The sequence below is a fragment of the Homo sapiens genome, chromosome 10, assembly GCF_000001405.40.
Source record: "Homo sapiens chromosome 10, GRCh38.p14 Primary Assembly".
Lineage (NCBI taxonomy): Eukaryota > Metazoa > Chordata > Mammalia > Primates > Hominidae > Homo > Homo sapiens.
In genome coordinates, this window is record NC_000010.11 from 131,635,042 (window position 1) to 131,662,477 (window position 27,436).

At 50.5% G+C, this 27,436-nt stretch overlaps 9 annotated features.

The window, feature by feature from the left end:
- Positions 159-1,358: an enhancer, noted in NCBI's record as "P300/CBP strongly-dependent group 1 enhancer chr10:133467536-133468735 (GRCh37/hg19 assembly coordinates)". NCBI's record gives its function as "activates an origin of replication core promoter dependent on BRD2, BRD4, P300/CBP, MED14 and CDK7 cofactors, with strong dependence on P300/CBP, by STARR-seq in HCT116 cells {active_cell/tissue: HCT116}" and the evidence as "EXISTENCE:reporter gene assay evidence [ECO:0000049][PMID:35650434]".
- Positions 539-588: an enhancer, noted in NCBI's record as "active region_4215". NCBI's record gives its function as "activates an Ori minimal core promoter by ATAC-STARR-seq in GM12878 lymphoblastoid cells {active_cell/tissue: GM12878}" and the evidence as "EXISTENCE:reporter gene assay evidence [ECO:0000049][PMID:35858748]".
- Positions 649-778: an enhancer, noted in NCBI's record as "active region_4216". NCBI's record gives its function as "activates an Ori minimal core promoter by ATAC-STARR-seq in GM12878 lymphoblastoid cells {active_cell/tissue: GM12878}" and the evidence as "EXISTENCE:reporter gene assay evidence [ECO:0000049][PMID:35858748]".
- Positions 1,719-2,219: an enhancer, noted in NCBI's record as "H3K4me1 hESC enhancer chr10:133469096-133469596 (GRCh37/hg19 assembly coordinates)". NCBI's record gives its function as "activates a minimal SCP1, AML or CMV promoter by ChIP-STARR-seq in naive H9 embryonic stem cells {active_cell/tissue: H9 hESC(naive)}" and the evidence as "EXISTENCE:reporter gene assay evidence [ECO:0000049][PMID:30033119]".
- Positions 2,220-2,720: an enhancer, noted in NCBI's record as "H3K4me1 hESC enhancer chr10:133469597-133470097 (GRCh37/hg19 assembly coordinates)". NCBI's record gives its function as "activates a minimal SCP1, AML or CMV promoter by ChIP-STARR-seq in naive H9 embryonic stem cells {active_cell/tissue: H9 hESC(naive)}" and the evidence as "EXISTENCE:reporter gene assay evidence [ECO:0000049][PMID:30033119]".
- Positions 6,515-6,664: an enhancer, noted in NCBI's record as "active region_4217". NCBI's record gives its function as "activates an Ori minimal core promoter by ATAC-STARR-seq in GM12878 lymphoblastoid cells {active_cell/tissue: GM12878}" and the evidence as "EXISTENCE:reporter gene assay evidence [ECO:0000049][PMID:35858748]".
- Positions 11,479-12,443: an enhancer, noted in NCBI's record as "H3K4me1 hESC enhancer chr10:133478856-133479820 (GRCh37/hg19 assembly coordinates)". NCBI's record gives its function as "activates a minimal SCP1, AML or CMV promoter by ChIP-STARR-seq in primed H9 embryonic stem cells {active_cell/tissue: H9 hESC(primed)}" and the evidence as "EXISTENCE:reporter gene assay evidence [ECO:0000049][PMID:30033119]".
- Positions 12,444-13,407: an enhancer, noted in NCBI's record as "NANOG-H3K4me1 hESC enhancer chr10:133479821-133480784 (GRCh37/hg19 assembly coordinates)". NCBI's record gives its function as "activates a minimal SCP1, AML or CMV promoter by ChIP-STARR-seq in primed H9 embryonic stem cells {active_cell/tissue: H9 hESC(primed)}" and the evidence as "EXISTENCE:reporter gene assay evidence [ECO:0000049][PMID:30033119]".
- Positions 16,379-17,071: an enhancer, noted in NCBI's record as "OCT4-NANOG-H3K4me1 hESC enhancer chr10:133483756-133484448 (GRCh37/hg19 assembly coordinates)". NCBI's record gives its function as "activates a minimal SCP1, AML or CMV promoter by ChIP-STARR-seq in primed H9 embryonic stem cells {active_cell/tissue: H9 hESC(primed)}" and the evidence as "EXISTENCE:reporter gene assay evidence [ECO:0000049][PMID:30033119]".

Consider the following 27,436-nt stretch of genomic DNA (forward strand, 5'->3'; position numbering starts at 1 on the left):
TCTAAATGTGGAATTTATAAATTAACCTCGTGAGAAGACAGCTCAGCCTTATTTGACTATTCCATTCTATACATTTGTATCATGAGCTGGACTTCCTACTTTTGAAATAATTAATGGAAGGCACATTTTTATAATGAATCCATGACAAGTTAGAATTACACAAAGCATGAATCAGTTATGTATTTTTTATTTAAGTATCACAAAATGTTAATCATGAATATATCTTGCCTCTATAATTTTTTAATTGCAAAATAATCTATACACACATGCACACATATATAATTTAATTTTAATTTAATTTAATTTTTTAATTTTGGATTCAGGGGTACATGTGCTGGGTTGTTACATGGCATGTTGTATAATGCTGAGGTTTTGGATAGGGATGGTCCCAACACCCAGCTGGAGGCAGAGAGCTAGTAAGTGATGGACCCAGAATTCCGGAGCTAGAAATTCTAGCTCCAGAATCCACCATTCTGTGCCCCTTTTCTGCCATGATTACCAGTGTGAATGCTCAGCCTCAGTGTCCTTGTTTGTGAAGTGGTTATAAGATACCAACCTTAGGGCTGTCCTAATGAGCACTGAGTGACAGAATGAGAGCAATGCCTCTGACTCACTGACTGGCCACAGAATGAGAGCAATGCCTCTGACTCACTGACTGGCCACAGAATGAGAGCAATGCCTCTGACTCACTGACTGGCCACAGAATGAGAGCAGGTGCCTCTGACTCACTGACCGGCCACAGAATGAGAGCAGGTGCCTCTGACTCACTGACTGGCCACAGAATGAGAACAGTGCCTCTGACTCACTTACTGGCCCGTCATCACTGCTCCGAGGGTGGGAGCTGCTGCTGTTCATGGAATAATTGTCCCAATCCTTTCTGGAGGGCTGGGGCATGGAGACAATGCCAAGGTTTTAAGCAGCAGGAAAAAGACCTGAACAGAAGTGGTGATTGTGGCTGAAGACAGGAAGCTGGTTTGAGAGGCACTGCAGAGGGAGCTGGAAACGGATTGGAGAGGAAGATGAAGGAGAGGCAGGAGTTGGTGGCCAACCCAGGACTTCCTACACAACGACTGGATCAACAGGGATATAAGATCCACGGTGGAGAGTACTGGAAGGGAAATGAGATTAGTCCAATTTGTCTGAGGGAAATGAAAGGTCTGTGTCCAACAGAGTGAATTGATGTTGAGGATATGACCTCGGCGTGGGCAGCTGGAAACACGGCCCCAGAAGTCGGGGGTCTGCCCGGAGCCAGCACTCCCCTTCCATGAGCTGGGCAAGGGGTGAAATCTCACAGCTTGGAGGCAGTTCTTCCCGACCAGGGTGGTTCCTGGAGCTTTCCACTCCCCAGTTCCCCCGGGTGCATGTGCCCTCACTCCAGAAGGGCCTCATGCACCAGAGAGGAAATGGTCAGGACAGTGTCCTGAGTGTCAGCTCCCAAGAGCTCATCTTCAGCAGACGTTTGTGGATGTCTTCCAAGAGTCCGCTATGAGGATGCTCACCACGGTGTCATCTGCAACCTCGAATCAAATCACTGGAAATACCCCAGGTGTCCAACAGCAGCCAGTGAACTAACTGATTAACTAATAGACCTGGGGCAGGGGACTCCAAGCAGTCACTAAACACTAGGTTGTGGGAGAATATTTGATGTCTGTGCAGTGTTTGCAAGGTATTATCGAGAGGAAAGGGTTAAAAAAATACGTACAATGAGAGCCTTTTCTGATGCATGTACACAAGTCACAGAAAGGCACGCAGCAGGTGGACCTGGATCCCCACATCACAGGGGCGCTGTCTCATTAATGTGGCTTAGCTAATTTCTAAATTTAATACAATCGATGAGTCCTTCATTAGTGAGGAAAGGAGTGAAGAAAAAGTATTTTTAATTGGTCATTTAGGAAAATGATGGAGGGGTCACGGCCACACTCCAGAGAGGTCAGTCAAGGGGGTACGGTAGGAAGAAGCTGTGGGCTCCGCCGCTGACCACGGCACTGTTGGAGGGAGAAACAGAGCCAAAGGTCAAGAAGGCCATGCCGTGGAGCAGTGTGCTAGTGAAAATGATGGGAAAATTTGCATTTGTCAGCACCGATGCCCCTGTGGTGAGGCTCATGTTCCATAATTCCTGACAAGCGTCTGCTGGGAACTCTCTTGGCAGCCTTTTCCTTTTAGAGGCTGGGTTGGTGGTGTCCTGCTTTTCACAGCCAGCTGTCTGCCACCAGGGCAGCAGCTGCTGAGCCTGGTACGCACGTCCAGTGGTCACAGAGAAGGAAACGGTGGCACTGCCGCCGCGCCGCTGTCCTCCCTCCTCTCCCCTGTGAACAGATTGTTTAGGGCTCCCACCACCTGCTCTCTTGAGGTCTACCCGCCATGATCCCCTCCAGGGCCAGCTTGGGAAAGGCCACATCCTCAGCAGCCATCCACAGCCTCTCTCCTGAGCCATCTCCAGAAACCACACGGAAGGAGCTGGAGGTCCTTATGCTCAGGGAAATAAGCCAGGCATAGGAAGAGAATGCCGCAGGATCGCATGCTTCTGAGGGAGCTGAGACAGTGGACTGCTTGGAGGGATAGCAGATCCAGTGGCGGCCAGAGGCCGGGATAGGAAGGGCAGGGGCTAAGAAGGAGAAAAAGGAACATGCACGCAGTTGTTACCCCTGAACTGTCACCTAAACATGGTAAAGAGTGTAGATTACATATGCAGATTCTGCCCTAACAAGGACAAAAACTATAAATGGGGTGAAAAGGCACTGACCACAGGCCCACCTGGAATCTCTGCCCTTCCTCAAGTCAGACCCAAAGGGACTTTTGGAAATCCCGAGTCTCACAGGCATGAGCTGCTCTGCAGGGTACAGCATCCCTCAGGCCTCCCCTCCTCTGCAGCTCAGTGCTGTGGAGTGAACCCAACCCAGCCACAGGAAACTCCCATTCTAGCCTCACTCACGCCACAGGACACCCCTGTCCCAGCCCCACTCACCCCACAGGACATCCCTGTCCCAGCCCCACTCACCCCACAGGACACCCCTGTCCCAGCCCCACTCACCCCACAGGACACCCCTGTCCCAGCCCCACTCACCCCACAGGACACCCCTGTCCCAGCCCCACTCACCCCACAGGACACCCCTGTCCCAGCCCCGCTCACCCCACAGGACACCCCTGTCCCAGCCCCACTCACCCACCACAGTGCCCCCATCCCGGTCTCCAGTCAGTGGAGCACCTAAAGGGTTGCACAGGGTGGTCATCACTGGGGAAACGCGTCTGAATTGGGTCATTCTGCTTGAATCTGGTGGGTGTGGTGTCCTCCTTGGGTCTGATCCCAGCCTCAGGCATTTCTTTGGAATGAGAGGGATGTTCACTGCATTGTTCTTTCTGGACACTGATGGAGACTGTGATATCACCTGAAAGCCGACTGTCAGTTCTGTGTCACTGCCCTGCAGCTGGTCCCACCTCTCCCCATCTCACCCTATCTACTCAACCATGCTGGAAACCTGTAACATGCTGCCCAGGCACACTGAGACCCTTCCTCAGGGGTGTTCGCGGAGCTGGTGCCTGGCTTGACTTTTTCTGACTCCATGACCTGGGGATAAGTGAGTGTCCTGTGGACAAGACCAAGTGGAGGGCATGTTGCAGGTGCACCAGTAAGCAGACTCCTCCGGAGCAGGTGGTGGCAGGTGAGGACAGAGGCTGGGATGTGGAGGAGAGGGGCCCCTCCTAAGGATTGAGGGCCTACGGTTTTCTTGGAACCTCATCCCAGCACACGGAGCCTCATGGTTTCAGGGCCCGAGCGGAATGGAAGTCGCCCTCCCAAGGGGAGAGCATGGCTGTGATGGAGTGATCTGAACGTGTTTGCTGTGACCCTCCCAGAATGTGTGATGCTCCCTTCGGTGACACAGGCTTTTGCCAAATTTTGGGAATTTGTCACCACCACACTGGATCTGCAAGAAATATTCAAAAAAGTATTAAACATGCAAGCAAAACAAACACCAGCCTATCCACCCCGCTCTGCCAGGCCTGTGTGAGCAGCAGGAGCTGCCAGCCAAGTGGTTTGGAGAAACCTCCATTCCTCTAACACGGTGGCCATGACCACACAAAGCTGGGGCTCACAGGCAGATCCTGTCCCTTTGTCCTCAGAATGCTAGATGATCACAATTGAGTTCCACACACCCAGCACCTCCATTGCCGGCCAGGCCAATGGCACAGGGCCAATCCCCAGCTGCCAAAATGAAAAGATTTTGGAACTTCTGCTTGGTAAATCCCCTTACAGCAGCAGCACATTGTCAGCCAAGCGTTGGCAGTCGAATCAGCAGTGAGAAATACCTTCAAACCCACATTTTGTGAGTTCCTCCAGGGCCAACTAGGGTAGAATTTGTGAAAGGACAGGATGGTGGCCCAAGGTCCAGCAGACCCTGAGCTCTCAGCTTATGCTTCATGCTGAGAAAATAAAGTCAACCAAAGTTTCAACCGAAGGTCCCTGTGGAACTTGGCCTCAGAGGAAAGCCAGGAAGCATAATTCTACATTTCTGTGCTCTCAGACCATGGAGCCCAACTTTAGCATTGCTGGGTGGAAGCTGGAGGGTGACAGAGGGAGAAAGGAACATGGCTGACTATGGAGGATGACAGGGGAAAAGGAATGTGGCCTGATCACACACACAGCACACTGCCACTACAACCTACAACTAACATTTAGAAACCCACTGCACAAAGGCTGTCTATAACCAAGGAATTCATTCAGAGCCTAAGCCCCCTAAAATCATATAGAACCAAAACCAAAGGGCCCTACCCAGCAGGGGCAACAGTCACACCCTTGGAGGGGGGATCCCATTCAAACAAAAGTAAGTTCAACAATAAGAGGTAACAGCTTCCACTGATGAGAAGGAACCTGCACAAGAGGTCGGCATCCAGATTCAAGAAACTCAACGAACTCCTGAAAAATACTGTACAAGACCATCCCCAAAGCATTTAGTCCTCAGACCATCCAAGGTCAATGCAAAAGAAAAAATCTTAAAGGCAGCTGGAGAAAAGGGACAAATTACACATAGAGGAAAATCTACCAGACTAATAGTGGACTTCTCAGCAGAAACCTTACAAGCCAGAAGAGATTAAGGTCCCATTTTTAGCCTTCTTAAAGAAAAAAAAATCCAGCCAAGAGTTTCATATCCTGGCAAACCAAGCTTCATAAACAAAAGAGAAATGAAGTACTTCCCAGACAAGCAAACACTAAGGGAATTTGTCACCACCACACTGGATCTACAAGAAATGTTCAAAAAAGTATTAAACATGCAAACAAAACAAAAGAGTAATACTGCTACCATAAAAGCACATATAAGTACAAAGCTCACAGACTCCATAAAGCAATGACCCAATTGAAACTACAAAGCAACTAGCTAACAACACTATGACAGGAATAAAACTTTACATATCAATACGAACCTTGAATGTAAATGGCCTAAATGAGTGGCAAACTGGATTTTAAAAAATAAGACCAACTTCCTGGTGCCCTCAAGAGACCCATGTCACATGTAATGACACCCAGGGGATTGAAGTAAGGGTATGGAGAAGAATCTACCATGCGAATGGAAAACAGAAAGAGCAGGGGTTGCTATTCTTATATCAGATAAAACAGACTTTAAAACAATAACAGTAAAAAAAAAAAAAAAAAGACAAAGAATATAAAAAAGGGATAAAGGGTTCATCCTACATATCTAGTCACCCAACATCAAAGCAGCCAGTTTTATAAAACAAATACTACTAGAACTAAGAACAGACATAGACAGTATTACAATGATAGTGGAGGACTTCAACACCCCACTGACAGCACTACACACATCCTCAAGGCAGAAAACTAGCAAAGAAACTCTGGGCTTAAACTAGATGTATGACCAATTGGACCTAATAGACATCTACAGAATACTCTATCCAACAACCACAGAATATACATTTTTCCCTTCTTTGCATGGAACATTCTCTACAGTTGACCACATGCTCGGTCATAAAGCAAGTCTAAATGAATTCCAAAAAACTGAAATCACATCAAGCATTTTCTCAGACCACAGTGGAGCAAAATTAGAAATCAATACCAAGAGGAATTCTCAAAACCACACAAGTACAAGGAAACTAAACAACTTGCTCCTGAATGACTTTTGGGTACACAATGAAATTAATAAAGAAAGAAAGAACTGTGAAACAAACGAAAATAAAGACACAACATGCAAAAAGCTCTGGGATACAGCAAAAGCATAAGCTGTGTCAGGAGTCAAATATGCTGAGGTCACCCCAGGAGGGGAGTTCCCTAGGCTCATTTCTAGAAAGCTTGTCACTTTCTGTGAGTGTCCCAGCATTTCCTGTTCACCGCAGGTGGAGGGCCCCACTCTCTATGTGTTAAGCCTGAGCAAACACACACACCAGAGTTCCATATTTACCTAAAGCCAGACCCGCACCACGTGGCCCCACACCACTGCTCAGGTTGTGCTCAGGTCAAATCAGAACATGCGGAAATGTTGATTTTCAAAGAAAACTATTAGCAGTTCAAGCATAAAGCTCCCTGCCTGGAGTGCAGTAAAAAGAAGGGCACCAGAAGTCCCCAGGGGCTCCCACAAGACTCACAGGAGCCACTTCCTTGTGGGAACACAGCCCTGTTCATGTTTGCTGCTGCTGAAATCATCCAAATCTACTTCCGGATATGGCGAATCTGCGTATTTTTATAAATTTCTTCGAAAGGCCTATATCTGTATACATGGGCCACAAAGGCTTATATCCTTATACAGACTAGAGTGGTAAATTTCTAGAAATGTCCCCAAGGAGGAAAGAAATGTGCCCTCAAAAATAGTATAAACAAAAGCATGGAATTTGCAAAAATAATGGAAATGTGCAATATTTTATTTTTCTCACTATCATGTATTAATAACAAAAATTATGTGTGGTGTATGATATTTAAGAAAGCAGCAGCCACAGACCTGCCACGTGGACCAGCACATGCGAGATGTTTGCAGACGTGGCCGGAAGTGTGCTGCTGTTTGGCCACAAGTCTCAGCTCCTTCCCCCCCACACTCACAGTCTCACTGGACAAGGGGAGCAAGACACCTGTTTCTAGACTATACCAGAGCTGTGCTACCAATGCCAAGACCCTGCTGCTTCTCCCCCTGTAGGACCAGTGGCCAGGAACACAGCCTCTCATCTTAAGATCAAAAGTCACTGAGAAGAAACCAACAAGCAAAGAAAGAAGAGTTGCCACCATCCCTCAGTGGAAGAAACTCACCTTAACCCTTGCATTTTATAGATTCAGTCAATGTTTTCTGATTGAGCCATTTTGGAATTGGAAAGGGCTAATATCATAGGTGAATTTCACATAAAAATCTGTCAGCCTGATAATTTTTGAGAACCGTATTCAGGGAATAGAGGTTGGGTGGCAATATGTGAATAGCCTTTGATTTAATTCAATGAACATTTATCAGATACTTCCATGTGCTATGTTATGGGGAAGTAAAATAGGCAAGGCCACTACCCTATCTAGAGAGTATTCTAGAAAGTGCCTCCCTGATGGAGGTTTAAGTTTTAATGTTATGATTTCAGAGATATTTGCATAGCTAAAGGAGAGTTCATGATTTCTCCCCAAAGAATGTGTTTTTTTTTAAAAAAAAGTGTACACAAATTACGTGTTTATAAGAAACCATAAAAGAGCAAATAAAAATATTGCATAATTGTACCACCCCTTTAGAAATAGAAACACTCTTTTTCTATTGTTTGTCATTCTATAATTATATGCAGGCACAAATATGAAAGAATCATTTCGATCCACACATAGCAGCTTTTCTTACAAATGCAGGACCACACGTGTAGACTGTTCTGTGATTTCCTGGACTGGCCAAATGCTACTACAATAATGCTGCACAGTGAACAGTCTCAAAACATCACTGGCTTCCAACGATGGTTTCATTCTAGTGTGCATGGCTCTGCAGGCCCATGTGCTTCAGCCTGACCCAGGTTGGGCCCTGCTGGGCAGCTCTACTCACAGCCGGGTTTGCATTTGTTCTGTGGGTTTCTGGGGCTCAGATTAGCTGGGCATTCTCATCTCCTGGCAGGCCACCAGCACAAGAGCCAGACCATGCCACACCAGCACACTGAAGGCCTCTTCTTGAGTCACACTTGCTTACACTCCATCAGACAAAGCAAGAAGCATGACCAAGCCCAATACCCATGGGTGGGGACGTGAGCTCACTGACTCCAGCACCCTGCAAGGCCACATGAAAGAGGGAGTGAAATGACCACCCACTCTACATGCCCACGGGTGAGGACATGTAGAGCGAGGGTGAGGAGAAGAATCTAAAAGTGACCTGAACTGAGCCTGAATGCTTTGCTCCAACCCCACAGTCAGTATTGACTTTCTATGTCCCAACCTCAAACTAAATACCTTTTAGCGTCCAAGTCTGCTTATAAAAAACTGGGAGGGGCTGGTGACACCTGTGCCCCGTCTCCACTCAGGCGTTTTTAGGATGAATGAAGTTTGTTTAGGAACTGTATCTTGTTCTTAAGTGAAAGTACATGAAATGTAGAAGATGCATTAATTTTTACAAAATAGAAAGAAATGCAAAATATAAAAATGTTTTTAAACATTTTTTTTTTTTTTTGAGACGGAGTCTCGCTCTGTCGCCCAGGCTGGAGTGCAGTAGCAGGATCTCGGCTCACTGCAAGCTCCGCCTCCCGGGTTCACGCCATTCTCCTGCCTCAGCCTCCCAAGTAGCTGGGACTACAGGCGCCCGCCACTACGCCCGGCTAATTTTTTGTATTTTTAGTAGAGACGGGGTTTCACCATTTTAGCCGGGATGGTCTCGATCTCCTGACCTCGTGATCCGCCCGCCTCGGCCTCCCAAAGTGCTGGGATTACAGGCGTGAGCCACCGCGCCCGGCCTGTTTTTAAACATTTTAAGTTGAGCATAGCCATACAGCCCAACATCTCCCGTGAGTGGAGTTTTGTGTGTACACTGAAGGTCTGCACATCACCCCTGGTGTTTAGATGCAGGCTTAAGGCTGGAGATCAGCAGGACTCATTTTCAGGACCCTGCTGATCAAAACGGGATGTAGCAAAGAAACCAGCCAACACCAGCTGGGACCAGGAATTATAATACATTTGCCTAAGACACTCCCCCCAGCGCCATGACAGTTTGCCAATGCCCTGGAACCTACCTCACGTGGTTCTGGGAACTCCCCACCCCTTTTCTAGAAAGTTCATGAATAACCCACCCCTTATTTAGCACAGAATTAGGACTAGGTATAACCGTAGCCAGCCGGGAATCCACGCATGCCACCCTGCCTGTGGGTAACCCTGACGTGTCTGTGCAGCAGCCGTTTTCTTGTTCTCTTTTGTTCTAATAAACTTGCTTTGCTTTCACTTTACTCCGTTGACTTGCTCTTGAATTCTTTCCTGCAGGAAGCCAAGAATCCTCCCGGGCTCAGCCCCAGTTCGGGGGTGTGCCTGTATCAGGCTTCCTTGCCTGGACAAAGCTGCCGGTGGAGAGGCAGCACGGAGAGGGGCCCTGAGCCCATAGGAGGAGGTCCGACACGTGCTGTGGTCTTTAGCCGGCCAAAGGCTTTCCCCTGGGCTGTGGTGGGAAGCTCCTCCAGTTCGTAATAGGGCAGGAATCTCACTCCCTCTTCACATCAGCCATTGTCTCTGTTCCATTTCATGGCGTGCATTTCATACTACATTCAGCCATCGTCACAACAGCTCCACTTGAAAGTTTGTTTGGAAAAAAAGTCAAAGAACATTCATTATGCATGAGCTTAAAAAGACTCAGCACACTCCTAAAATCGATACAATGCACCTCTTCTTTCCAGCTTATAAATTATGGCAGCACTTCAGTCTTTGCAGAGAACATTGGGAGCCCACATTTGAGTGGAAGAGGGATTGAATTCCTTGCTTTTCCAGGAGTCTAAAGCTGGCTGGTGCCTCTGTGGCCCGGCAGCAGCCAGGATGCTAAAAATGGTGGCTTCACACAGTGACCCCGGGCTGCCTTTGGAAGGACTTTGCTGAGGAAAACACAGCAAGGATGGTCAGGAAGCTCTTCTCCCATATCTCCCTACCCCGTGAAAAGAGAACTGTTCACTGCAGCTCAGCTCACTTTACATTCCGCCCCTTCCTACCCGCCAGCACAGCCCTGCCTTCAGGACACTGTTTCCAGGTGGGTTTCCCCTTGAGCCATTTGGTATTTCCTTGTTGCTAATGAGACAAAATAATGAACTGTGCTCCCAGCACCTGTCATTCGGTTGTCCAGTGCTCAAAACCATTTTGCCACAACACTGATGTCATTGAGACCGCAGAGGTGAGTGCATGAGGACCTCTGTAGCACACCCAGCTCTCAGAGGGACACTTTCCTCAACCCGCCTGGCAGGTGGGCCGGGGTCCCTGGAGGGCTTCCAGGGGTCGGCCAGAGAGGATGCCACTGTGCCTCCCACCTCTGTGCTTCTTCCAGCAGGAGTCCCCAGATTTTGTGGACTGTTGCTGGTGAAAAGTGCCAGGGCGGTCTTAGGTCCCAGACTGACTGTGCTAACACCCACTTCTCGTCCTCCTTCTTCTCTTCCTCCTTTTTCCTTAAACTGTGGAACAAGCCCACCCTCTTCTTTTTAACCACCTATTGTGGTGTCATCCCTGAGCTGCTGGCTCTGCAGAGCCCAGAGTCCATCCCCCCAGCCCCAGCGGGAGGCACCCCCTGCTAAGGAGACCCTTGTCGCGCTAACACGAGAGGCTAACAGCAGCGCTGGGGTTGGTGGGGGCTTTGGCCACAGACAGGACCAGCCCGAGGTTCCTTCTCCTTCCACATGGAGCCTCGGGGATATCCTGCCAGGGTGTGTGCCTTGAGGGGAGAGGGGAGGGACTGAGCCAGCCCACCTGAGCCATCGGCAGGGCCAACTTGGCAGGAGCACAAGCTGCCCCTCCACCTGCTCCTTTTCCTCACCTGGCTGGCCGAGGCCTGTGGCAAAAGGAAACAGCAGTGATGTTAACACCTTCCTCAGGAACCGCTGTCGTGCTCTGTTGAGAACATGGCGGGGATGCCTCTTGGCCTGGCTCTGCGCCCAGGTCTCCATGACCCAGCCCCAGGGAGGACCTCCACTTCCAGGCACAGTCAGGCTTCCTGCCCTCAGGCTGGGACTCGGTGAACACACTCCCATGGTGCCCCTGGTCCTCACCAGGCACCAACACACTCAGAACTCACTGCCCTTCATTTCCGAGGCTCTGCCTTCAACCTCTTCTACCTTAGAAATTGAAATTATTGTCTTATACTATTACGACTTAACTAACTTATCTTCTCCTGTGCTGTGAAACTAAGTGACTGGATAAATTGGCTGCATGGTAGGTGCTATAAAAAGCTCTCGGAAAATGACCTTCTCTCCTGAGAACTTGAGGGGTTCTCAGCCAACCCGTCTGCACCCACGTTGGTCCTGTTCAGCTTTGGGGTCTCACAGAGCCTCTGCCAGCAGCGCCATCCCAGTGAGAGGCGCTTACCCACCTCTTCCCACAAACCATCTGTTCATCAAGGTGGTGTTTACCTTTCAGGCATCCTGGAATCACCTGGTGTGGAGGAGGCCCTGGGCAGGGCGGAATTCCACGTCTGGATCCAGTGCTTCCTTGAGGGGAGCGTGGGAAATTTGCTTCTCCCCTCTAAGACGCGCCTGTAAAATACAGACCCCAGTACCTTCCTTGTGGTGTGTTCTCAGGGCTGAGACACCCTGCTTAGGGTAGCATTGGTCACACTGATGGCATCCAATCCACGCCAGCCTCGCAGCCTTGTCCCTCTCCTCTCCAGGGCTTCCCTGTCCTTCCCCCTCCCCGGGTACCAGACTTACGGGGGCGAGGAGCTTGCTTTTTTGACCTGGACTCACCAACCACCCCTTCCTTGCCACCTGGAGGAAGCCCACTCTTCTGACCTCTGAACCCTGTGCTGCTCAGGTTCCCGAGATCCCCGGCTGGGCCGTTGTTTGCAGGCATTCCCACTCCAGCTGAGAGCCGGCCCCTAGCAGGCGTTCCCACTCCAGCGGAGAGCCGGGCCGCTGTTTGCAGGCATTGCCACTCCAGCGGAGAGCCGGCCGCTGGCCCAGGTTACTTCATGCCTGCCTCTTGGCATTTGCCTCTGAGTGCCAAGAGAAAGAGGTGGGCACGTCACCTCTCCTGATTAGAGAGGTTAACAAGTTAACCTGCGGGGTTGCTGTGTTCACAGAACACAGAGCTACATCCAGGCCACTAGGAGTTGGGGCCTCTGGCCTTGCCTTAGTGCCCAGGCCAGGGCAAAGCGGTGTGAGCGGGTCCTTTCCACCCACGGTGAAGCACTCCAGGCTGGGAAGGGGACAGAGCACCTCACAGAACGCCTGAGGGTGCCTCCCACCTCTGTGCTTCTTCCAGCAGGAGCCCCCAGATTTTGTGGAGACATAACGACCCTTTATCAGAAAGAGCTTTTTTTCTTCTTTTTGGCTAAGTTCGGGAAACAATTACTGTCCTGCCGTCTGCTGACGGTCACAGTGTGATCTGCCATCTGCTGAAGGTCAGTGTGATTCTAGCAAACCTCTCCAACAGATCCACGGGCTGGCTGGTATTTCCTCCGTTCTGAAATTTTAAAAACTCCAAGGTGTCTGGGTTCAAGACTTTCTTCTCCTTCTCAGTCCAAATCTCCTCCTCCTCTTCTGATAACGAGCCGACTCTCGTGGCTGGGCTTCCCCATCCTGCCCTTTGCTGCAGGCCTTTGCGGACCCCCAGCAGGCTCCCTCCTCTCCTCCGTCTCCCTTCCTCTGCCTCAATGCAGTCGAGTCCCCGGCAGGTCTCATCCTAGGTGCCACTTCTTCCAGGAAGCTTTCCCTCCCAGACCCCAAGCCCAGGCCAGCTGTCCCTGTGTGTTCCAGAGCCTCCATGATCACCTGTTGCTCTCTGTCCCCCTGCTCCTCGGAAGGCCCTGAAAAGCAGGTGCCAACCCTGCCCCCCGCCAGCGCCTCCCATTTCCCTTCAGGCCCATCCTGTGACGCCAGCATTCCAGGGCCCACATCGTCATCCTGGCAGATGGAGTGCCGTTAGAATAATGAGCAGACATCAGGGCTAACGGGCCCACCTGTAGGGGCATCCTCAGGCCAGACAAGGCAGGCCACATGTGCCATGGGTATCTAGGCATTCTCAGCACCGAATCCTGGCACTCCAGCCTGACCTGCCCTTGATGTCAACAGCTCATCAACCTGGACACACTTTATGATTCACCTCCATGAACCACAGACTGCATTCTTGGTTTGTTTTGTTCTTAAGATGGTATGAAGGTGAGAACCCCCATTAGGGTTTAGTGAGATGGTCTGTGTGAACCACGCAGTGGCTGTGAATTTTGCTTCTTTACCTTGTGTTTTGCTTTTGTAATAAGTTTTTACCCATAATTAGAAGTTAGATCTATATAAATATATCTATTCATACATATATGAACATATAAGTGTGCACATGCATATATGTTTGCATATGCACGTGTGTACATACACATGCACACACATTTTCAGATGATTATATGTGTGTGCACGTGTGTACATGCACGTGCACACACATGTTCAGATGATATATATGTTTGTGTGTGCACACATGTATATGTACATGTGCACACACATGTTCAAATGATATATGTGTGTTTGTGTGCACACGTGTGTACGTACATGTGCACACACATATTCAGATGATATATATGTTTGTGTGTGCATACTTGTGTACATACACGTGCACACACATGTAAAGGTGGCCCAGTAGGGGTTCTGAGTCCCCCTGCTGCTGGCTGGACAGAGGCCCTGCCCCAGCTTCCTCCAGGGCTGCCGACTCTCAGGACAGCCCAGAGTTTGGTCTTCTCATACCACTGCCAGCCACACACTGGGCAGTAAGATGCTGTTTGAGTTGGAACAATTTCCTCTCTTCGGATCATGCCTTCCTGCCTCCAATGCCCTTGAGAAAACAGATAAGAAGAGAAATTGTAGAGGAGCTGAGCAGAGCAGGTGCATCCAGGCAACTGTAGCAAAAAATCCAGACAGGCCAAAAATCCAGGATTATATTATTACAACAGCCTGACTTTCACAATAGGAGAAATGTGTTTTGGAAACACCCCGACAACCGCCACTTGGTTTGGTGTTGTCTGACGAGCTAAATCAAAGAGGATGCTGTGGCCCCTCTGAAATCTCCTTGGTTATCCTCCTTCCTGGGAGGTGAGGCATGACGTCTGAGCCCTCTGAGACAGGCTGCACCCATTACCTGTTACCTGCTGATAGTTTCAGTCTGAGTTTCCAAGCCTGGCCCCTCCTGTCAAAGGTTACAGGCCTGACTTAGCTCTATGAAACGTGGCACGGTGTGCGTGAACCTTTCTGCTCACAGTTTGTCACTAAGCTTCGGGCACTACACTTGGTGCATTACTGAATATTTTGGGTCATCCTTTTTTTTCTCCGTCTTACAAAATAGGATTTGCATATACTTGTTGGCATTTGGAATATTAACATAATGTTCAGAAATGGTAAACCATAAATCAACAGAATAACATACTACTATATGTCACTAGCCCAGATCTGATAATTGCCACTTCGTGTTATGTTGCAAAGAACACTAAAATATATTTGAAATTCCTAAGTGAACATTAATTATCAGTCATTTATATTAGAAGTCAGAGGGGATTTTAATTTCCCAGGTGCCATTTGTTAAAACCTGTGATACTGACTAAGATGGATGGGCCCTGAGTTTACCAACCTGTTTTGCAATAATTATTATGGCCACTTACCTTGGGGCAGCCAGGTGGGTCCCCAATCCAGCAAACATTTGCCGCCTCACCGGGAGAGCATTTCCTCAAGGTCTGTGTTTTCACAAGTCCTGCAGGGACATTTGGCTACTTTCCACGTTGTAATTGTTTTTCCTTATTGACACTTAGATTAATTCACCTTACGAGTGTGAAATATTCTACTTTCGAGTGAGCCCCCGTTGATTTACAGAGTCACATTGAGTCCTGTCCCCTCGCCATATTGATCTTTCATTATTTTCCTATCTTAGAAGTTTCCCATGAAACTTAGGAAACTTAGGAAGTTAATAATAATAAACTTAGGAAGTTAATAAAGACTTCCTAATTACCCTTAATTAGCTTTATTACTTGTCATTGCACATTTAAGATTATTATTTAAATGTTTTATGTAAGGATTAATTCAAGGAGAGGATTGCTAAATCATGCCCAGGTGGCCCCACAAAGAATGAGAGTCAGAAGAACTCAAGCCACGTGAGGTTCTGTCCTTCCAGCTGGGCCCTGATTGCTCCTGGAACCCCAGCTGTCCCCTGAGGCAGAGGCCAGGCCGGGCCAGGAACTGACTGGGCTCCCGCGGACGTGCAGCCAGGCATTTGCTCTGGGCTCCTTCTTCTCTTGGCCTCACCTTCTAAGTGTGCCCTGGGCTCAGAAGGAGATGGGAAGCAAAACTCAGCTTCCTCCGTGGACCCCTGACCCCAGAGCCTCATCCATCTTGGCACCGATGGAGCTGCGCCAGCTCCCAAATTCCGGGCTCCCGCTTCCAGTAGCAACAGCAAAGCCTGGGACTGTGTGTGGTGCAGCAGCTCGGGGCTGGATGCTGTATCTGAGCAATGTAATCCTCACCTTGTGAGGGAGGCAGTAACAACATCCCTGTTTACAGGCGAGGAAACAGAGGCCAACAGGAAACAGAGGGGCAGGGATCCGGGCCCTGAGACCCTAGAGCCTGGCAGTCCCCCAGGAAGTCACATGGCCAGCCCTTATCCTTGGGTCCATCCAGGTTGGCTGCCTCAGCACCTTCTCCAGGAGCCAAGTGCCTCCTCACCTGCCCTTGACCACCTCTGCCCAACACCCTCCCAAAACTCGCGGTGACCACCACGCTCAGGCTGACAAAGCCCTGAGCAACTTCTGCCCCCGCCAGCACCACTGCACACCCCCTGACCTGGGAACTCCTGACTGCCGAGCACAGGGCAGGAGCGGGGCCCATGGGCAGCTTCCAGCATCCCCACGGAGCGCAGGTTCCTTCTGAGCCAGAGGGGGCTCGGGGAGGCTGCAGGAAAGCCGTGCAAGGTGTGCAAGCCATCGCCTGACTGATAAGCTGAGGGGTCCCGTAAACCTCAATCCAACGCTGCCAGAAATCCCAAATGCTCCCTCTCCCGTGCTCAGCCAGGGCCCTGGCTTCTCCCTCAAACCCCACGTGACGTGGTCTTTTGTTTCCTGATTACGTGACCACTTCCACGGGACACTGAAACCACTCCAGGCAGGGAACTGCGCACATCATCTTTACAGTCTTGACCCTCAGCAGAGTGACTGGTTCCTGAGAAAAGCTCACCCAGTGCTCGAATGAATGAATGAATGAATGAAGAGCTACACAAGTGAGAGTGGCTTTTGGGTCCTGTGACAATGGGCTTGGTGTCACTGAGCCTTGGTCCCTTCCAGCCCATGGTAAAGGAGGCTTCTGTGGCTCTCTCCAGGCCCACGTGGTCTGATGCCCTGGCAGTGACAGAAGCAGCATCGTGCTTAGCTCCTGTCAAAAACAAAGCTCAGATACTTGCTTTTGCCTCCTTGTTCATATACATTTGCATTTTGATCACTTAAGACCTCAAGGAGACTCGAAAGGAGAGCACTCCTAGGCCCCTTCATCTCTCCCTCCTTCATCTGCATTAGCAAATCTGCATATAAATGGCAAAGCCACCCTGGCAAGGGCTTTCTCCAACAACATCCTCAGAATCTCCTTCCTGATCACTGCAGCTGCACTGATAGCAATTTGCACTTGCCTGTTACCAAATTAGACCCAGCAATTGAGCTGAGAGCTGGCAGCAGGGCGGGTCCCACTCAGGGAGACTCCTCGTCTATTCCCAGGGCCAGGGCCCCTGCTGGCAAGGGGAGGGCAGGGAAAGGGCCCTCGGAGATGTACCCCAGCGGGCCGGGGCAGACATGCCCCTTGGGCCCTCGCTGGGACGCCCCTGCCTGCGGCTGGTTGGAGCTGTCTCCCAGGCAACGCGTCCCAGTGCATCGGGAGCTCTTTCCAGATGAGGCTCTGAATCTGCAACTTAGCAGAAGAGGCGTTCTCTGCTGTTTTTATGGGGGGTACTTATCACATTTTCACAGACAACATAAACATAATTTTAAGTATCAAACATCTTTAATGTCTTTATTCCTCAGGAAGTGACAGTAAATGCCCCTCTATTAAGGGCTGTTTCCTGTAAGGCGGAGATAAAACCAATAAGCGCGGTTTACTTCTTAGGCGCGAGCATCAATCTCAGCCGCCCATCCTTCCTTTAGAGCTAATTTAGAGTTATTGCACCTCGAGCGAGGCCGTCCAAATTGAGCTTAATTCACATTCCAGCTTCAAAAACAAGGTCTGTGTCTCGCTGTTTCCCTATTGTTATATGGGCTCTCATTTCTGTGCTTTTGATCCCAAATTCTAAGAACTCCCTTTAGAAAGCCTTGCTGGGAAGGTGGTTTGGTGGGGACCAGGTTCTGGAAGGACAGGTCGGCAGGGTAGCCTGGAGTGGAAACACCCAGCAATCAGCCCACACGCGGAGCGGAGTGGAGGGCGGGTCAACTCACTTCCGCAGTTGAGACTGACTCTGCCTGGAAGTCAAGGGGTTGGCACCAGCCCCCTGTCGCCTGCCCAGGTGTCGTCCCCCACCACAAGGCGGTACCTGGTTCCTCCTCCAAAATGCCTGTTCGCAGGGCACATCAACTGCCTATTATTTATTGGTAATCCGTCTATTAGGCACAGACGTAACACACTTTAATTCGGTGTTGCTTCTCTTTTGCTCTAAAAATGAACGCAGGCAGAGCACAAACCTCATTCCAGGGGACGTGCTGCACGGGCAGACTCAGAAACTCAGACTCCCTTCAAACTGCACGAATTCCCACGGCTCTTAAGAGAGATCATTTCCACAGCCATCATTTATCCCAGATAACTTGAGGAATTCATCGCTAGCTATTTGCATTTACTGGCTCCACGAAAGGCTGAGTTAATTAAAAGTTCCTTGGGGTCCTAAACGATATTTCTTGGGAATGAGATTCTGGGACTGAAATTATGATCTGTGTGGGAGGAACCCTGGTCCCTCCAGAGTGCGCTTGCCTGAAAGACTGTTATAGACCTAAATAAACCACGGAGGCCCCCACACCCCAGAGGCTGGACGGGAGCCGCAGACGGTGGGCCATGGACACGCCCCCTCCAGCAGGCAGGGGGATGTTAGGTGCTGACCTTGGGCACTACCTGTTGACCTTGCACAGGTCCTCTGGGCTCATCCTTGTATCCACTCATGACCCGGCACCTGGGGAGGCAACTGGCATTGCCCACACACAGACGGCAGTGGCATAGAACGAAAAGTCACACATGGTGGACTCAGCCCGACGACGGTTCAGACCCCAGCCCTACCATCCACTAGCTCTGTGTTTTCCAGCAAATCATTCATTTCCACATCTGCCACTGAGGCTGAGGACGCTTCCCTCCCCGCTGGCCCCGAGTCTAGGAGGATAATGCATGGAGGCCTGGAAAGCAGAGGGGGCACAGTCTGTTCCTTGGTGTGCTCGAATTTCCTGGGCTTTCCAGGAGCCCTGAGATCTGTGGAAGGGGAACCACAGGATCCCTAGCAAGGCCTCCCTTCTGGACTTCAGGGAAGGTTGAGGGGGTCCATGTGCATGCACTGGTGCAAGCAGGGCTGGAGACAGGCTGCCTCATCCCTCCCAGGGGAGCACCCATCCGGCGTCCTCCAACAGGAGGCGGGAGAGTCCCCGCTGGGGGGACCAGGAGTTCAGATGCTCCAGCGCTCACTCCCACTCACATGGAGGCAGCAGACACACAGCAGCACTCACAAGCACACACACACGCAAACACACACATGCACACCCCCACTCACACAGAGGCAGCAGACACATGGCAGCACTCATAAGCACACACACACATGCAAACACACACACGCACACTCCCACTCACACAGAGGCCACAGACACAGTACCACTCTCACACTCACATACACACACACATGCACACACAAGGAGGCAGCAGACACACATGGTAACCCACATACACACACACACACAAAGGCACCAGACACACATGGCACCACTCAAACACACACAAACACACACAGAGGCAACTCTCACAGGCACACGCACACTGACATGGAGGCAGCAGACATGCACGGCACCACTCACACATGCACACACAAGGAAGCAGCAGACACGCACTGCCCTCCTGCACACACACACACTCACACACCCTCACATACACTCACTGATGCATACAGCCCACGTCAGAGTCCACTGGGCACCAGCAGCCTTAGGTCAGTTGCTGTCCTTGGGTTGAGCCATCCTTGGCACCCTGGGGAGGGGCAGACGCTGTGGACATTTGGGGTCTAGGGGCTGCCCCCACAAAGGTCAAGGACTCCAGGGCAGAGCTGAACACCCTCAGCCCCAGCCTGGCATGGGCTGGCCCCTACTCTCAGGGCCGCTTCTCCAAGAGCCCCTGGCCAGTGCCTGCCTCTTCCTGGCCCTGCTTCCCTCTGAGAGGCTGGGTCTGGTGCCCCCAGAGCATCCAGGTGGAGCGGCTAGTGAGGGTCAGCCAGCCTGGCCAGGAACAGGGCCAGGAGCAGGATGCATACGCCCTGGACCCTATGCATCCAGCCTCCCCATGCTGCGTCCAGGAGCGTCACTGGCCTCCCGGGTGCACAGCCGTCTCTGCTCCTCACACAGGGGGCTGGGGCGCAGAGGGCAGCTCTGCAGGTTTGCTGAAAATGATGGCAGGGCCTGGACAGCACCTCACCTCCTGGCCTTGCAGTGTCCAACGCCTCCTTCTGCACCCGGAGTACCCAGCAAGGGTGCCTCAGGGAGCTCCACCCATGTCTGTGGGCCTCGCGGGGCCAACCCTGCCCGTGGATGGAACAGGAGCCTGTGTCACGAAACAGGAGCCTGTGTCACGAAACAGGAGCCTGCCCCAAGTGGTTCCCGCAGGTGCAGGGCAGGCCTGGGCGCCCTCGCTACGCTAGTCCGGCTGTGCTTCCTTGTGCGGTGTCAGGGTGAGCCCAGGCAGGCCACAGCTCTCCCGCCTGGCTTCTCGGCCTGTCCTGGTTTGCTTCTGTTTCCTCTGTTGCATTTACCCACGTTCCTTAGGTCATGGAAGTTTCCGGAATCCTCCTGCAATAAAAGCTGGAGCAGTGCTGGCTTCTGAGTTGGTTGAGATGAGACTCATTCCTCCCTGAACACAGAAGCCGCACACACAGCCCCAGGCAAAGTCTCTGGCTGGCAGCCAAGCTGTGCCCTGCACTTGGTCAGCTGGTCAAGGTCGTGACCTCCCTGGCCAGTGCCTTTTCCCAGGGTCCCGGGGCTGTTTCTGGGGAGCGGAGTCTGACTCAGAGTGCAGGTGTCCTAGAGGAAGCCAGCGAAACCAGCAAGGCCTCGCTGGAGCAGAGCCTGGGTGTCGGGTTGTTCAGCTCAGGGTCCCACTGCAGCGCTGAGCCTAGAAATTCTGGAACAAGGGGAAGAGTGGAGGAGGAGTGGCCAAGTGCCCTCCAAAGGGGGAAGCAGGGGATTCACCTCTGCTGACCAATGCAGGGCCGCCCAGGAAGACAATTTAATTCCAGTCTTTTCCCATGAACGTGTTTCCACTCACCCGTGAGCACAGAGCCTCTGCTGATGAGAACCCTGCACAGGGAGCCACTCTGGCCGGGGCCCAGGTTTAATTAAAACACAGCCAACATGGTCAGGTTGCCTTTACCTGGGAAAAGCAGGATCCTTGGTACCTACGGAATCTTTTTTGCAAATTGACATTTAATATAACATTAAAAACAAATCATGCTTACATTAAAGGTAGTATGAAGTATTAATTTCACTTTAAAACATTTCCAGAGAATTTCTCTAAGAACAGGTCCCGGAGAATATTACTCCACTCATTTTATTCTGTTTATTTGTAGCTTTCCAGGGGAGAGTTTTCTTTCACTTTTCTCTTTAGCTTACACCATTTCCTAGAAGCCCATTTTTATGCTCCAGGTTCTATCCTGTTTAGCCTTTCCTCATATACCCATAGAATACAACTCCCTCCACCCCTCCTCAACAGACACAGACTCCCGATTGTAGAAATGGGGCTCATGGGGCCTGTCGAGCCCAGGAAATCCTGGAAATGGGTCCCTGAAACCTGCAGGCCAGGTGACTCATCAGAGGACGTGACGCTTCTCAGAAGTCTCGCTGGAACCCGCACTTTCCCTGGTCCAGGAAGAGGCATTCTCTGGAATCTGTTCTTGTCCTTGTAGGTGGTTCTCAGTAACACACAAAACAGTGACCAATAAGAGAAGATGATGGAAATGAGGCAGACCTCAGAGGCCACCCACAAACCCCCGGGACCCCTGATCCCAGGTCCCACCCTCACCTGCCTCAGCCTGAGCCAGCCCTGAGCCTGGAGAACAGGAAAAAAGGCCAGACTACCACACAAGAGCATGTGCCACACGGGAGCTACATGCCACATGGTATCCACATGCCACGCAGGAGACACACACCACACAGGAGCCACGTGTCACACACCACATGGGACCACATGGTATCCACATGCCACACAGGAGCCACGTGCTACATGAGAGCCCCACGTCACACAGGAGCCACATGCCACGTGGGAGCCACACACCACATGGGACTACATGGGGTCCACCTGCCATGCAGAAGCCACATGCCACACAGGAGCCAGTGCCACATGGGAGCCACGTGCCACACAGGAGCCATGTGCCATGCAGAGTCACACACCACACATTGGCCTTGGGAGCCTTACCTTGGAAGGCAGAGGGCCCGGCCGGATCAGGTGGAGGTCAAGAGCCAGGGCTACACATGGATCCCTGCAGTCTCAGGGCCATTCTGCCTGAAGGCTGATTTCCCTTTCAGATAACAAAGAACAACAAAGCTTAAACATTTTTTAAAGTTTTAAAGCTATAAACAAAAGCAAAGCACACGTCTATTTCTTTTTTTTTTCTTTTTTTCTTTTTTCTTTTCTGAGATGGAGTTTCACTCTTGTTGCCCAGGCTGGAGTGCAATGGCACGATCTCAGCTCACCGCAACCTCTGCCTCCCAGATTCAAGCAATTCTGCCTCAGCCTCCTGAGCAGCTGGGACTAGAAACATGTGCCACCATGCCCAGCTAATTTTGTATTTTTAGTAGAGGTGGGGTTTCTCCATGTTGGTCAGGCTGGTCTCAAACTCCTGACCTCAGGTGATCCGCCCACCTCGGCCTCCCAAAGTGCTGGGATTACAGGCGTGAGCCACCGCACCCGGCCAAACACATCTATTTCTTCAGTAGCAAGGGTGGAGCTAGCCAGAGCCTGACATCATGTGCACAGTAGAAAGGAGAGCACAATTTGCAGACAAGTCTAAAGGAATGACGGGATGGGCACACGAGGCACCTGCTGGACACAGTGCAGCCAACACCACAGCAGCTGCCTCCACGGCCTGCAAACATTCTGGAAGGTCATCTGCGGGTGTGCCCAGCACGAGCTGGACGTGCAATACCCACCTGCCTCCATGGGCTGGGAACGTTCCGGGAGGTCATCTGCAGGCGCACCTGGCTCGGGCTGGACTTGTAATATTGACCAATCAGCATCCACTGCCTTCTCCCCAGGAAACCCCTTCGTTTCCAGAGGCTGCTGTGTGTTCCCTGGTTCACTGGGCCCTTGTGGTTTGCCGTTTATTCCTTCCCACCCTGGGATCCATCTGTTATTTGATCAGAACAAAGTTTTCTGTCTCCTCTCACCTGATTCCAATCAGGCATCCAATGTGTCAGCCCCAAGTGTGGGGACAAAACAACCGTGGTAGCCCCCCCAGTCCAGCCTTCCCGCATCCTAGGGCCAGGCGGGACCTACCTTCTTCTTCCCAAGCTTTAAATAACTTTGAAGCTAAACTTAATTACCACTGCAATGAACCGAATGTCTGTGTCCCCCCAAAATCCACAGATTGAAATCCCAACCCCCAAGGTTGGTGTTGGGAGGTGAGGATGTGGGGAGAGGATTAGGCCACGGGGATGGAGCCGCATGGATGGGCTCAGCGCTCTTCTAAAAGGCACCCAGTGAGCAGTTCTCTTGCCCTCTCCCACCGCCCCACCCCCCGCGAGGACACAGGGAGAAGGTGGCTCTCCGCAACCCAGAAGAGGCCCTCACCAGAATCCAACCCTGCTGGCACCCTGACCTCAGACCTCCAGCTTCCAGAACTGTGAGAAAGGGATGTCCGTGGTTTAGAAGCCACCCAGCCTGTGGGACTTTGTGAGAGTGCCCCCAACAGACTCCAACACCGTTAAAATGGTCAATGGCAACTTTTACACATGATAATAAATAATTGAGCATGACATCAACTTTGAACATAGCAAAACCTTAAAAAATGTGTAAAACAAGACCCAGAGTGTCATTTTTTCTATCAATATTTGTTGAGAAACTGCTATGTGCCAGGCCCTGCTGCAGGGGCTGAGACACCCCAGTAAATAAAACCAGACATAAGGGTGGGGTCTGCACCCTCCTGGAGGGCACAGAGGTGGGGGCAATGAGTCTAGGGAGAGCCTCGAGCAGGGTGAGGAGGAAGGGGCGCTGTGGAGATAGGACCAACGTGGTGCATGGACCAACTGCCGCCCAGGCTCCCCAGAAGCTGAGTCTGCCATGGAAGTTAATGGAGAAGCTGCCTTTGCTCCACAGCAATGTGGGAATAGAGGGAGGGCCTGGGGGCAGAGGAAGAAGAGGCAGCCTCAGCAAAGGTCCCAGCCAATCCCCTGGGGAAGTCCAGAGCTGGACAGCCCTTCGGAGTCTTCCAGAATCAGGGCAAGTGGATGAGACCTGGGACCCCCAATCTGACCAATCACTGGCTGCAGTCACACCTGTGATGACCAGGCAGTGGCCTGACCTGACAGGAGGGGCACAGGCACATCCATCCAGGGGGAGCCAGGGCTCAGGCGGCATCCACCCCCCAGACCCTCACAACGGAGTGGGCAGGTGCAGGTGCAGCTCTCCGGCAGGGCAGCAGCAAGGCCCAGGCCTCCAGGCAGCGACTTTCTTGCCCCCTGCCCATTTTTGCTTTATGTAAGGTGGAGGAGCAGGGTGGGGAGTGGAGGCTGGGGTGGGGAGTGGAGGTTGGGTGGGTCGGGGTGTGTCCGGGGTCTCAGTTTCTGAGCACACATTCTTTTAAGGGCTCCTTTTCTTTCTGCTCATGGCTCTTCCTGGCAGGTGCAGGTGTGGGTGCTCATGATTCCTATTTTACAGATGAGGAAATTGAGGAGGTTCAAAGTGTTCAGGTCTGTCTGTTGAGCCAGAACGTGCCCCCATCCTCCATCCCTCTGGGAAGGGCCACTTTGTGGGGCACCCCCAGTTGGTTTATTCTGTGTCTGGAGAAGGGGCCAGGCTGGGGAAAGAGAGACCCTAGGCTGCACAGAGACTCCACCTCTAGCAACAATCAGAATGATGTGTCTCTGGAATTAGCTTATAGGACACCATCCTCCTCCCAAAAAAAGGGATAATTTAAAAACAGACAAATTTGTCCACGAATATTCAGCTCTTGTGCAAACAGCAAACCCGGCCTGCAGACAGGATGTTTTCTATTGTCATCTTAAACATTTCTCAGAACAGGAAACCTGCATGTTTCCACGGTCACTCCTGTCCATAATCACAGTGATAATTGTGTTTCTGTAGCTTTTGTAGTTTTCTCCTGCAAACACCTCCCTTTTCTGGGGCTGTTTCTGGTATTCTGAATTCACCAAGTAAGAATGCCATATGGAAGGTGTAATTTTCACTCAATCACTTTTCAGCCTCTTAAGAACACTGCTTTTTCCCTAATGGTTACTTTTTCTTGAGAGAAGTTACTTCCCTTTTTTTAAATACATAATTTTCTTTAAAGTGTTCCTGAAACTCATATTGTTTGCCCTTGATTATTTTTTCAAAATGACACTGTAATTTTTGTTACCAGAAGGAGGAAAAATGAAATAAACCTGAAATAGGGGATGATGTGTGTGTCAGTATCATGAATGCACATGTGGGCTTATAAATGTCCTGTCCTGTCAATTAACCACACCCATCCATCCACCCTATACTGGGACTGTCCTGGGAACCTAGAGGATGCAGGGCAGGTGAGCCCCAAAACTGGGGCTTAGCCCAGGAGGGTTCTTGGCTTCAACTAGGAAAGAGTTTGGTGGGGGAGATGGTGGTGTTAGACAGTGACTTCTATTGACACAGCAGGGCACAGCAGCAGCCAAGGTGCTGCTCCATGCAGAGCGGGGTTACCTGACAGGCACAGTGAGCAGAGCAGCAGCTAAGGGCACTTTTAATTATACATGAATTGAGGGGTGGTTTATGCAGAAATTTCTTGAAAAAGGGTGGTGACTTCTAGGCCATCAGGTTGATGCCATGGAAAGGGTCAGAAACCCCAGGTGTTGCCACGGCAATGGTGAATTGACATGGCACCCTGGTGGGCACGTCTTATAGAAAGCTGCTTCCGCTCATCCCTGTTTTAGCTAGTCCTCAAATTGGTCTGGTGTCTGAGCCCAGGCTCTAGGGTCGAGTCCTGCCCCCTACCTCACAGGGGGCCTCAGACAGCTCACAGGGAAGGGGTCAAGCCATTGAGTGGCAAGGACCCCCTCCCCCATGCAGAACTAGAGTGTGCAGCGCACACCAGAGGGAGCAGCCTTGGGGCAGGTGGGGGGGCAGCTGCAACATTCCAGGTAAAGGCGCATGCGAAGACCCTGAGACCAGAGGAAGAAGCCACGACCAGCAGCAACCTCAGGACCAGGGCGGAGGGAAGCCCCAGGGGAAATAAGGCAGAAGAAAGGCAGGAAATTCATTTATGTGGAAGAAGAAGCTAAGGGGTGCTAGTGGACCAGGAAGAAGGAAAGCATCATCCAACCACAGAGAATCAAGAAGCTGGAGAGAACTTTCAGAAGGAGAGTGGACCTCAGGTCCTTCCCACACACCATTTAAATGCAGCTCCCAAAACGACTTTAAAGTTCATATGGAACCAAAAACGAGCCCGCATTGCCAAGACAATTCTAAGCCAAAAGAACAAAGCTGGAGGCATCACGCTACCTGACTTCAAACTATACTACAAGGCTACAGTAACCAAAACAGCATGGTACTGGTACCAAAACAGAGATATAGACCAATGGAACAGAACAGAGGCCTCAGAAATAATACCACACATCTACAACCATCTGATCTTTGACAAACCTGACAAAAACAAGAAATGGGGAAAGGATTCCCTATTTAATAAATGGTGCTGGGCAAATTGGCAAGCCATATGTAGAAAGCTGAAACTGGATCCCTTCCTTACACCTTATACAAAAATTAATTCAAGATGGATTAAAGACTTAAATGTTAGACCTAAAACCATAAAAACCCTAGAAGAAAACCTAGGCAGTACCATTCAGGACATAGGCATGGGCAAGGACTTCATGGCTAAAACATGAAAAGCAATGGCAACAAAAGTCAAAATTGACAAATGGGATCTAATTAAACTAAAGAGCTTCTGCACAGCAAAAGAAACTACCATCAGAGTGAACAGGCAATCTACACAATGGAAGAAAATTTTTGCAATCTACTCATCTGACAGAGGGCTAATATCCAGAATCTACAAAGATCTCAAACAAATTTACAAGAAAAAAACAAACAACCCCATCAACAAGTGGGTAACGGATATGAACAGATACTTCTCAAAAGAAGACATTTATGCAGCCAACAGACACCTGAAAAAATGCTCATCATCACTGGCCATCAGAGAAATGCAAATCAAAACCACAATGAGGTACCATCTCACACCAGTTAGAATGGCAATCATTAAAAAGTCAGGAAAAAACAGGTGCTGGAGAGGATGTGGAGAAATAGGAACACTTTTACACTGTTGGTGGGACTGTAAACTAGTTCAACCATTGTGGAAGACAGTGTGGCGATTCCTCAGGGATCTAGAACTAGAAATACCATTTGACCCAGCCATCCCATTACTGGGTATATACCCAAAGGATTATAAATCATGCTGCTATAAAGGCACATGCACATGTATGTTTATTGTGGCACTATTCACAATAGCAAAGACTTGGAACCAACCTAAATGTCCAACAATGATAGACTGGATTAAGCAAATGTGGCACATATGCACCATGGAATACTATGCAGCCATAAAAAGGGATGAGTTCATGTCCTTTGTAGGGACATGGATGAAGCTGGAAACCATCATTCTCAGCAAACTATCGCAAGGACAGAAAACCAAACACCGCATGTTCTCACTCATAGGTGGAAACAGAACAATGAGAACACCTGGACACGGGAAGGGGAACATCACCCACCGGGGCCTGTCATGGGGCTGGGGGACGGGGAGGGAAAGCATTAGGAGATATACCTAATGTAAATGACGAGTTATTGGGTACAGCACACCAACATGGCACATGTATACATATGTAACAAACCTGCACGTTGTGAACATGTACCCTAGAACGTA